Source organism: Homo sapiens, chromosome 3 (assembly GCF_000001405.40).
Source record: "Homo sapiens chromosome 3, GRCh38.p14 Primary Assembly".
Classification (NCBI taxonomy): domain Eukaryota; kingdom Metazoa; phylum Chordata; class Mammalia; order Primates; family Hominidae; genus Homo; species Homo sapiens.
The window spans coordinates 46,200,587-46,212,705 of record NC_000003.12 but is presented as its reverse complement, the minus strand read 5'-3'; the positions used below and the strand labels follow the sequence as shown (position 1 = coordinate 46,212,705).

At 46.6% G+C, this 12,119-nt stretch overlaps 2 protein-coding genes across 2 annotated transcripts in view; one reads left to right on the top strand and one right to left on the bottom strand.

Annotated features, from left to right (window-relative positions):
* Positions 1-2,010, bottom strand: part of CCR3 (C-C motif chemokine receptor 3) — a 56,011-nt gene extending 54,001 nt beyond the window's left edge. The window contains exon 1 of the mRNA XM_006712960.4: positions 1,799-2,010. The gene's annotated coding sequence lies outside the window, so the exon portion shown is untranslated. The remainder of the gene's footprint in view (positions 1-1,798) is intronic.
* Positions 2,011-4,392: 2,382 nt separating this feature from the next.
* On the top strand, positions 4,393-10,995 carry CCR1 (C-C motif chemokine receptor 1). The gene is made up of 2 exons (NM_001295.3): positions 4,393-4,424; positions 8,382-10,995. The coding sequence occupies exon 2, from the start codon at positions 8,393-8,395 to the stop codon at positions 9,458-9,460; it is 1,068 nt and encodes a 355-aa protein (NP_001286.1). The 5' UTR covers positions 4,393-4,424; positions 8,382-8,392; the 3' UTR covers positions 9,461-10,995.
* Positions 10,996-12,119: the final 1,124 nt, after the last annotated feature.

Below are 12,119 nucleotides of genomic sequence, written 5' to 3'. Positions count from 1 at the left end.
GGGCAAAGAAGTCTTGGCCCCTTTCTCCTTGGTTTGTCAAGTTGGAGTTTGTAGAATGGGAGGTGAGAGAGCACCTTGGAGAGGCCAGAGGCCAGGCAGGCAAAAAGAGGCAGAGATGCAGGAGGAAAAATGACCACCTGGATAGAAGAAGTATGCAGTGAGGAGGGGAGGTGGAAAGAGAGGCTGGGGAAAGAAATTAGACAAGACAAGAGGAGTGTGGTAGGGGGGCCAAGAGGGGGGAAATGAGGTGATGTCGAGGGACCTGGGGTGCTACTGCCTAAGACCCTCTTACATCTCCCAAAACCACTTTTGCCCATCTGTGAGACAGTAACCAATCTGACTTTGGTGTTCTGGAAATAGCCTGGGATCAGAAGCAACCTCTTTCGTCATGCAGACAGTGTGCCCCAAGATTAGGCAACAGGGACATCTCACATCTCTGTGATCACGGCACCACCAAATTAACCTATTCATGTAGCCACCGAACCTAAAAGGTTTGCATCAGTGACCACCAGGGTCCATGCAGTTGAGGTGCCTGGGCCCTGCCCCGTCTTGGTTAAATCAGAACATAAGGTTTCTGGAATGTTGAGGTTGTATCACGAAAGGAGAACCAGAAACAGGGCCAAGTCAAAATTGGATGCCATGGATGATGTGTGCAGGTCATGAAAGGCAAATAAATAGGTGAGAAGGAAGAGGAGGAACGAGCAGGCCAAGTCATGGGGCTGACACAGGAGGGGGTATCAAATTAAGGAATCAGAGACCTAGACAAACTCAAGGTTAGAATCTTCAGGTGTGCACCTTATTGATATTTCTCTGTTTCCACCACATCGAGAGGCTATAGTCACTGCCTACATGCTTATTCCCAGGTGCTTGCTGGTGGAGAAGAATCTTCTGGGTATGAGGTTCAGTGACAAAAGCAATGGAAGACAACGTGTATTGTATTCACTCACCAGTGTAAAAAAAAGTGTGTGTGTGCGTGTGTTCTATGTTCAAAGTGACATGAGAATCTGATACTGTTGTTCCTTTTGGGAAGAGAAATGGGGAAAATAAGGCGCCAGGGGTAGGCAAACTTAGCTCTTCACCTTATATTTTGTGTACTTACAAATATAAACAAATTACATCTCAGAGAATTCCTGTAGACCAGTGGTTCTCGAAACTTATTAGAAATGCAAATCTAGGTCAGGCATGGTGGGATCACAGGTCACACCTGTAATCCCAGCACTTTGGGAGGCTGGGGCAAGAGGGTCACTAGAGCCCATGAGTTTGAGACCAACCTAGGCAACATGATAACACACCCATTTCTACAAAAAATATATATATATATATATACATATTTTTTCAAATTAGCCAGGTGTGGTGCCATGCACCTGTGGTTCCAGCTACTTAGGAGACTGAAGTGGGAGGATCACTTGAGCCCAGAAGGTTGAGGCTGCAGTGAGCCATGATCATGCTACTGCACCCCAGCCTGGGCGACAGAGCAAGACCTTGTCTAAAAAAAAAAAAAAAAAAAAGTAAATTCTCAGGCCCCATTCCAGACCTACTGAACTTAATCTCTGGAGATAAGTCCAGAAATCTGTTTTAACAAGCCCTCTGTAGATTCTGATGGATATTCAAATTCGAGAACCATTGCTTTAGGCCAGGGATTCTAGTTCTCAGATTTTTTAACATATTAAAATTCCAATGCCCAGGCTGCACCCTAGACCAAGTACATCAGAATATCTGGGGGTGGGCCTAGGAGTCAATTGTCCTTCAAGCTTCCATGTGACTCTAACATAGCGGAGGCAACACTGGTTTCACCTACCTTCTTCCAATTCTGGGATCCACCTCTTCCCAGCCTCAAATCTTGCTCAGGCTTTAGATGTGATAACCTGGAGATTGTTTTCTTGGAGTTCTTCCACAATGGCCTCTGGCTCCTCAGTTCCCCACCATCGCTGATTTGGAGAGAGTGTGTGGCCAGAAGACAAGGCCCAGCAGTTGAATATGAGGTTGAACCTGATGACGGCCAGGGTCCATGAGCTCTGCAGGTGTTAAAGACAGAGTCATCCACATCCACCACTGGCAGGGTCCCCTGCATCTCTTCCCTGAACATTGGTGCCAAGGCTGGGGTGGAAGGCTGTCTCAGGACAGGGTTTGGCTTAGTGCTGGGCTTCCACTGCAACCTCTCTGGGGCAAAGGAAGCTGCCCACATCTCCCCCTTCTCTCCAAGGAAGAGGAACATTGATGTGGATCAAGGACAATACGGCAACCTTGAGAGAACACTACAGCTTTTAAGGAGAGGAGTCAAAGGGCTTTTAAGAGAAATGAATGGAGCAAGGTCATCCCTCTTTGCTGGTTTCTCTCTTGTCTCTCTGTGCTGCCCCCATTGTACACATCTGCTGTGGTGAGAGGGGTGTGTGCACTAAGGGGTTTGCAAGGCCATAGGAGACCTGAGTGTGGGTGTGGGAGGGGAGACAGAGCAGGCAACTGAGCAGCCTCTTGTTTAGGCCTTGAGCTAAAGAGAGAAAGAAGGCTTCCTAGCTCATAGCTGGTCCAGCCTAACTCTTCTGAAGAAAGATCACATGGGACTCTGAGCCAAAAGCATTGAGAAAATCTAGATCCATGCCCCCCAAATTTAAGCATGCATCAGAATCATGCCAGTCTTTGTCAAAACCTGGATTGCTTGGCCGCATCCCCAGGATTTCTGAGTCAGTATATCTGGCATGTAACCCCAGAACTTGCATGGCTAGCAATGTCCCAGGGAATGTGAATGCTGCTGGTCCAGGGACCTCACTTTGAGAACCACTGCTCTAAAGGACTTCCTCACCCCTTCCCACCCTCGATGCACCCTTCCTTAGCCCAGGGTATTTCCCAGGCCACTACAAAAGCTGTTCCTCATTGTGGTAACTTGGTTAATTGTTTGTGATCCTTCCTAAGCTATAAGCTCTCAAAGAATGGATCCAGCCTCTTTCTTCACCACTATATCCCAAGCACCTAACACAATGTCCGGCACATTGTGAGTACTGAATAAATATTTGTTCAATGAACAAGCAGATTTGCCTGGTACATCCCCTCTGTGGAATGAAACCTAGAGCAGAGCTGGAAGCCTGGTCAAGGATGAGGTACTGACCATGTCCCTTACTTTAGACAGGATCAAGGAAAAGGCAGGCCTCACAAGCCTCTGTTCTCTTTGGAAACTGATCCACCAGCAAAGTACTGCAAATAGCCAGGCACATGCAGACCCCCATTTATTTCTTTGGGGTGAAGCTGAGTGATGATCAGATGTCAAGCTTAGGCCATCTTGTCTGAATTCTTCATTTTACAGATAAGAAAACTGAACCATGAAGAGACAAGTGATCTTTTCAAAGCACATTCACACTGATGATTTCTGAAACAGTGCTTTGTAGCAATGCCGTGAGGAAGGTTAGGGGTGTCCCCACTTTATAGAAGACACAAGGGCAGAGGCAGAGTAGGTGTTGGCAGTTGTGAGGAGAGTCACAGTACTCATCATTTGTCAGACATTTTTCACTGTGCCAGGCACTCTGACATTTTTCATGTACAAGTTGACTTCGTGCTTCTCCTCTGAGGTAAGCATTCAATACTCCCATTTAGCAGAGTAGGAACCAAGACTTAGAAAGGTGAGTGATCTGCCCATGTCACAGGTGGAGAGCTGGGATTTGAACTTGGCCCATGTTTGACCATCACGTAAAACAGGAATGGGGCATCAGAAAGGGAAGGTCAAAATGTAACCAACAGACCTATATTCCCTTCATGCTGGAGGTTCCTGGGGCAAAGCCACTCTCTGAGGTTTGGTGGGGAGGGACTTGGGGAGCAGAGAGCAGAGGGACAATGAGCTCCCAGAAGCCGAGGGGCATAGGGTGCCAAAGAGAAGCTGCTGCCTCTGTGAGCACCCATGTCAGTTAGTTTTGAGGAACAGGACTCAGGGTTCCAGTTTAAATCCTTCCATTCACAATCTTTAAGAAGAAGAAAAAAAAGAAGTCTGCCGCTGACCACAAGAGCTCTATGCCCTGCCCCCATCCCACATACACACATCCCACACTTCAATTGCTCCAAACATTCTGGGAACATCTCACTGCCACCCACCTCACCCAACTCAGCTTCACCTGCCCCCAATTCCCTTAAGGCTGAGCTCCCAGGGCCAAGACTCAAGAGGCTCAGAGTGAGCAGAGAAAATCCTCGCAGTTAACTTGGCTTCCAGGAAGTGGCCACTGGTGGGCGTTGTGGCCATTCATGAGCACCAAACCACACAAAAAGAAGAACTTTGTCCCTTTCTTGTCATTTTGAAAGACTGTGAAACTGGAGCCAATTCTCCATCATCACACAGGAAGCTGAGTACTTCCTACTTGGTCAGGATCTTGAAACTTGAATTCATAAAAACCCAGAAAGCCCCAGAAACAAAGACTTCACGGACAAAGTCCCTTGGAACCAGAGTAAGTGTCACTTGTCTTTTCTGTCTTATCTGTTACTGTGGAGGGCAGTGTTGTTCAAAGACATGCATGCAGCTAGGGGCTCCTCAAAGGTAGGGGGAATTCTTTGAGTAGGCTGGGCAAATGTCTAAGTAGCCCATGGATGCATCTCCAAGGCAATTAATACTGTAGCAATACTGAGAATGGTGGATTTATAAAGCTGGGTGCTCAGATGAAATATAGGCTTTTTTGCTAAAAAGGAAGCTTACTTGAAGGATTGGCTTTTGGTTACTGATTAAGAAAGTCAGTCAGTACTAAGGGACAAAAGGTGTTTTCTGTGGAAACCTATTCAATAAGAAATTACTTGGCGGGGCGCAGTGGCTCACGGCTGTAATCCCAGCACTTTGGGAGACCGAGGCAGGTGGATCATGAGGTCAAGAGATGGAGACAATCCTGGCCATATGGTGAAACCCTGTCTCTACTAAAAATAAAAATTAGCCGGGCATGGTGGCGCATGCCTGTAGTCCCAGCTACTCAAGAGGCTGAGGCAGGAGAATCACTCGAATCCGGGAGGTGGAGGTTGCAGTGAGCTGAGATTGCACCACTACACTCCAGCCTGGCGACAGAGCAAGAGTCTGTCTGAAAAAAAAAAAAAAATTGCTTGCCAAATTCCCCCATGTAAAGGAAAACCAAACATGGTGTATGAAGAAATTATAGCAAGAGGGAAATATTAGCTAGAAAAATCTTGGCAGATGCAAGGATGATTTGATACTGAACCTATCTCTTAAGAAGACTAGAACCAAGGATCCTCAAAATTGGCACTGCTATCTTTGGAAGAGGTAGGCTTTCACTCACCCAAAGGCAAGGAGCTGGCCAGGTGATCTTGGGGGGCATCTGTTCTGCTCTACTAACAAAGACACAGGTCAGGATTTTGTTCTGAAGATAGAGGGGCATGGTGGCTCCGTATAGGTATCTACTTCATAGGTGGTCTTGGTGGGTCCCAGATTTCAAAGAAGAGATGGAAACTCCCAAAAGTTTGCACAACCTGGCACCAGGCTATGTGCCACTCACTGATCCTTTAGTTCCCGCACCGAGCAGTGGGACAGTGCTGGACTGTTCAGAATGTGGGGCCTGGGCAGTGATGTGCTGGTAAATGTTCAACAACTGACTCTTCTGAAGAAAAGATCCCTGCTTTATAACATTTGTTGATTTTCATGGTATAAATGCCCCCACTGTGGTCAGTTTCAAGCTACCAACATGCTGAATGTGGAGTGGGGAAGAGATGCACGCAATTGGCATTTATAAACCAGTATAAGCCAGCCAGCGCACCATAGGCCTGGGTGTCTTTCACCATCACAGACTGCTCTATCTCTGCTCAGAGACTTCACCAACTCCCAGGCTGGAGGACACTAGCAGTGGAGGGTCCAGGATCCAGGGCTATAGCTGACCACTGTGCAGTGGCCTTGAGGCAGACTTCTGCAGTAGACTACAGCAGGGCTGGCAGATTAGATGACAACATGGTCCTTTGGTTTCTCTTCTCGGGCCCCACCCCAGATCACCTCCCTTTAGGAACAGCATGCCTTGGAGTGGTTGCCTGGGGCTTAACAAGTTGGGGAAATAACAAATGGGTTGGAGGTAGGGGGTGTATGGAGGTGACTCGGTTTAAAATGCCACCTGACAATGTTGACTCAACTTGCCTTTGCCTTTGCCAAACCTTCCCAGAAACTGGACTCATGGGATCAGGCTTGCACTAGCTGCTCTTTGTGCTTTCCAAGCTATTTGCATACTTCCACTGTTAACCTGCCAGCCCACCGAAAAGTGCTGACTATCAAACCGAACTGTCTGCCCTCATCAGCAATGGCTGTGGCTGCAGAAATTAGAAACTGCCAACACAGCTTTGTTAGTGACCGTTAGCCTGACTCTCTCCAGAAAGAGGGCTGATTGGATCTCTCTGGAGATGGAGGAGTGGGCCAGGGGATGGGTTTGATAAAAAATTAAAGCTCCTCACTTCTCACCCTAATAGAGTATCTCCCTTTCCAGCCAGGGTGCCCTATACCCTCCATGTGCCTTAATTTCCTTTACAATGGCTATTGAAAAAAATGTGAATTGTGTAAGCAGGAAACATTCCTTAAGGAGAGTAGAAGGAAGAACACCAGAGACCCAGGTTTAAGATAGAAATTATAAAGTAGGTGCCACCTACTTTACTGATTGGCATTTGGGTCAAATCAATTTAGATTGGCGGCAATAGATTGACAATTTCAAATGTCATTCACATGGAAGGGACCATCATTGTCCACCGTTATCAAGAAAAATCACTTTCTAGATTAACTACAAAGAAATTTGGCAGGGGGGTGGGAGACAGGGTATACCAGCCAGCCAGGGACATCCTGGACATTGGTGCCTGGGATGTGCTGGTGGTGTCAGGCCTCAGGGAAGGGCTCCTGCAGTGAAGGAGTTCTCTCAGGGAAGGTCCCCAAGAAAAGTGCCCTGGCCTGGCTCTTGCCAGGCCCTCAATAAGGGGCCTGGCTGTTGCCAGGTGGTGGTGGTGGGAGGGTGATGGTAGCACTTTTCTCATACATTACCTCACAGTAGCCTTGCAAGATAAGAGTTGCTTTCCCACATTACAGATGAGGAATGAAGCTCAGAGAGGTAAAATAATTTATCCAAAGTCACAAAGCTCGTAGGTTACACCAAAGCCAATGCTCCATTTGGGGAGGCATCTTTAATAAGCAACTGGAAAGGATTCAAGTGCCAAAAAAGCAGGGACTGGGAGAAGTCCTACAAAGGCAACCTACAGAGTGATTCTTTTTTGTTTCATTTTTGTTTGCTTTAAGGCATCCGTGGGTAAAAATATCTAAGAGCTTATCTCAGCAGAATTCAGCTAGTCACTGTGTAACATCACCTCATAGCTCCAGACCATTCTGAACTCTTCCTCCCCTGATGCCCAGTTTTCTCTTTTTCTGACCAGGTTACCTCCCCCTTCTCTGCCTGCACTTTCCTCTCCTTCAGGAGGTCTGCAAAGTGACCTTAGATCTACCTGTGCCACCTAAGGACTGTGCAATGTGGGTCAGGCTCAGCCCACTCTGGTGCCCTCAGTGTCCTCATCTCCAAAATAATGGGGTTGACCTACTAGGATTTCACTATGGCAACACCACTGGTGTTTGGGGTAGAATGATCTCTGCACTGTAGGACATCCTTGGCCCTGCCTACCAAATGACGGTAGCATCCCCCAGTTTTGGTGACAACAACAACAAATGCCCACACATTTCCAAGTGCCCCAAGGGTACTAGGTCACTCTCGGCTGAGAATCTTCTTAGACCAAAAGCCATGAATATCTGTTTGTATCTTTCTCTGAGCCAGGACCATTTTCCTTCTCAGAGTCCTCCTGTGGGCTCCACAGTGCAAAGCTACTGCTCGGGGACAGCAGCAGGAAAGCGTAGTGGTGTCAGGGCCGGGCATGAGAATGATGCACAGCTGGGTTGGAGCTCCAGGTCTGTTCTCACAAGAGGTGTGTCCTTGAACATGTTTCCTAACCACTCTGAACCTCTGTTTCATCACCTCTTAAATAAGAACAACAATGGGACCCCTCCAGGGCTCTTTAACCCTAAGTCCAGTGCCTAGGCCATGGGGGTGCTTAGGAAGTGTTGGTTATGAATAGTATGGTAAGGTCTCCCTCTGGCTTTCCACCCATTGAACTTATCCCTTACAAAACTCTTTGCTGAAATGATTGAATTAATGATTTGTGCACTCATTTACTTATTGCTTCCACTCCCTGTTAGACTAAGATTCCTAGAAGGCAGAGAGGATCTGGGTCTCTCTAACACTCCATTTTGTCCCCAGGGCATGGTACACAGAAGGCACTCAATAAACATTTATGGAGTGGCTGAAAAAATGTTACCTCTCCCTTGTCTTTACTGTCCAGTGCCCACTGCCTTTAGTAGCAGAGTAAAGACAAATCTTTTTTTTTTTTTTAACCTGTAGGAGAAGCCGGGATGGAAACTCCAAACACCACAGAGGACTATGACACGACCACAGAGTTTGACTATGGGGATGCAACTCCGTGCCAGAAGGTGAACGAGAGGGCCTTTGGGGCCCAACTGCTGCCCCCTCTGTACTCCTTGGTATTTGTCATTGGCCTGGTTGGAAACATCCTGGTGGTCCTGGTCCTTGTGCAATACAAGAGGCTAAAAAACATGACCAGCATCTACCTCCTGAACCTGGCCATTTCTGACCTGCTCTTCCTGTTCACGCTTCCCTTCTGGATCGACTACAAGTTGAAGGATGACTGGGTTTTTGGTGATGCCATGTGTAAGATCCTCTCTGGGTTTTATTACACAGGCTTGTACAGCGAGATCTTTTTCATCATCCTGCTGACGATTGACAGGTACCTGGCCATCGTCCACGCCGTGTTTGCCTTGCGGGCACGGACCGTCACTTTTGGTGTCATCACCAGCATCATCATTTGGGCCCTGGCCATCTTGGCTTCCATGCCAGGCTTATACTTTTCCAAGACCCAATGGGAATTCACTCACCACACCTGCAGCCTTCACTTTCCTCACGAAAGCCTACGAGAGTGGAAGCTGTTTCAGGCTCTGAAACTGAACCTCTTTGGGCTGGTATTGCCTTTGTTGGTCATGATCATCTGCTACACAGGGATTATAAAGATTCTGCTAAGACGACCAAATGAGAAGAAATCCAAAGCTGTCCGTTTGATTTTTGTCATCATGATCATCTTTTTTCTCTTTTGGACCCCCTACAATTTGACTATACTTATTTCTGTTTTCCAAGACTTCCTGTTCACCCATGAGTGTGAGCAGAGCAGACATTTGGACCTGGCTGTGCAAGTGACGGAGGTGATCGCCTACACGCACTGCTGTGTCAACCCAGTGATCTACGCCTTCGTTGGTGAGAGGTTCCGGAAGTACCTGCGGCAGTTGTTCCACAGGCGTGTGGCTGTGCACCTGGTTAAATGGCTCCCCTTCCTCTCCGTGGACAGGCTGGAGAGGGTCAGCTCCACATCTCCCTCCACAGGGGAGCATGAACTCTCTGCTGGGTTCTGACTCAGACCATAGGAGGCCAACCCAAAATAAGCAGGCGTGACCTGCCAGGCACACTGAGCCAGCAGCCTGGCTCTCCCAGCCAGGTTCTGACTCTTGGCACAGCATGGAGTCACAGCCACTTGGGATAGAGAGGGAATGTAATGGTGGCCTGGGGCTTCTGAGGCTTCTGGGGCTTCAGTCTTTTCCATGAACTTCTCCCCTGGTAGAAAGAAGATGAATGAGCAAAACCAAATATTCCAGAGACTGGGACTAAGTGTACCAGAGAAGGGCTTGGACTCAAGCAAGATTTCAGATTTGTGACCATTAGCATTTGTCAACAAAGTCACCCACTTCCCACTATTGCTTGCACAAACCAATTAAACCCAGTAGTGGTGACTGTGGGCTCCATTCAAAGTGAGCTCCTAAGCCATGGGAGACACTGATGTATGAGGAATTTCTGTTCTTCCATCACCTCCCCCCCCCCGCCACCCTCCCACTGCCAAAGAACTTGGAAATAGTGATTTCCACAGTGACTCCACTCTGAGTCCCAGAGCCAATCAGTAGCCAGCATCTGCCTCCCCTTCACTCCCACCGCAGGATTTGGGCTCTTGGAATCCTGGGGAACATAGAACTCATGACGGAAGAGTTGAGACCTAACGAGAAATAGAAATGGGGAACTACTGCTGGCAGTGGAACTAAGAAAGCCCTTAGGAAGAATTTTTATATCCACTAAAATCAAACAATTCAGGGAGTGGGCTAAGCACGGGCCATATGAATAACATGGTGTGCTTCTTAAAATAGCCATAAAGGGGAGGGACTCATCATTTCCATTTACCCTTCTTTTCTGACTATTTTTCAGAATCTCTCTTCTTTTCAAGTTGGGTGATATGTTGGTAGATTCTAATGGCTTTATTGCAGCGATTAATAACAGGCAAAAGGAAGCAGGGTTGGTTTCCCTTCTTTTTGTTCTTCATCTAAGCCTTCTGGTTTTATGGGTCAGAGTTCCGACTGCCATCTTGGACTTGTCAGCAAAAAAAAAAAATAATAATAATAATAAGGCCTGCTGTGTAAGCTGACAGTATTTGTAGCTGATAGGGGGTTGGGAGGAAAGTGTCTACTAGGAGGGTGGGGTGAGATTCTGTGTTGATGTAGGAGGCCGAGAAGGCCCTTAACTCAAAGTAGCTTATTTATCCAAAATGTTCTGGATGCATCATCTCCAACCAAGGACCCCTTATTTATCATGCCTTTGTTCTCTTTTCCCTCAGATGTATATTTCTTTAAAAATAATTTTCCTAATAACAAAACTTATTTCTAAAACAGCTTAAAAATTCAAAGAAAAACCCCAAACACTGACATTACCTACACTTCCACTACCCAAAGACAAAATGTGCCCACTGTGTGCTTTTGAGTGTATTTTCTTTTAGTTTGTTTTTTGTTGGGTGCATATTTATGATAATAACAATGATGGACTTCAATTGTACTCACTGTTCTATTGTTGGTTTTAATTAGCAGCAAGTTGTGATCACTTTCCCAGGTGAATAAATCATTTCAAAGCATTGTTTTTGGTGCCTGCACTGAAGTCGTTGGCAGGGATGCACCCTAATTTACTCCACCTGTTTACCCACTATTGCTTGCACAAATCAGTTCAACCCAGCAGTGATGACTGTGGGCTCCATTCAAAGCAAGCTCTTGAGCCATGAGAGACACTGGTGCATGAGGAATGTCTGTTCTTGCAGGGTGCTCAGCTCAGTGAGCCAGACAGACACAGGGATGCCAACAGGGCCCAGGCAGCATGGCAGGGGGTTGGGGGGACTGCAGAGCTCAGGGTGCCAAGGCAGTAAAAGGGAAGAAGGAATCATCAGTCAGAAGACACCCTAAGCTGACGGGTGTCCCACCTTACAATACAGTGACACCATTGGGCTGACTTTTCTCCTTTTGTGGACACTAGAGCTGCACTCTTACCAAACCACACACCCCCTTCAGTGGGAATTGTGTTCACATGTGGTCTTTGTACAAAGAAGCTGGTGTCATGATGGTCTTGAAAACTTTTGTCTGGGATAGAGGAGGTCATGCCACCTGGGCTTACACCCCCACACAGAAAATATAGACAAATATAGGTCTTAGGAGTCCAAGTGGATGTCAGCTTTCCAGTTGTAAACCCACCAGCTCTCAGTGTGTGGAAAGGAGGCTTAACTGAATTAAGACATATTTGTCTATTGCTTTAGTAAAATAAAACTGCATCAGAAAACAGTATTTGGTCCAACAGTGAAATCATAATGTGAAATATTTCACAAGATCCTCCAATTCCGTTTTGAAGTAATGCTTGTTTTTTCCCTTATTACAAAGGGAATTTCTAGTTGTAGAAAACTAGAAATAGCTAAAAAACACAAAGGAGAAAAATGAAAACATCTGTGCAATTCTGCTCCCCAAATATAGCCTCCCTTATTATACTACTGTTTTAGTACATTTCCTTCTAGTACTGTTTTATAAATGCACACACATACATAGACGATCACACTTAATATTTTCTGTGCGTGTAACCTCGGTAATGTTTGACACATAGTAAACACTAAGTAAATGCTGGCTGAGTGAAGCTCAATTTCTGAGCTCCAATTTCCTAATCTATAAAGTGAAGAGGAGCCTGGTATCTACCTCATGCTGCTGTTCTGAGGATTAAATA

Bases quoted from the DNA above. Each gene is read 5' to 3' on its own strand.
- CCR1 (NM_001295.3), top strand. From the start codon at position 8,393: ATGGAAACTCCAAACACCACAGAGGACTATGACACGACCACAGAGTTT.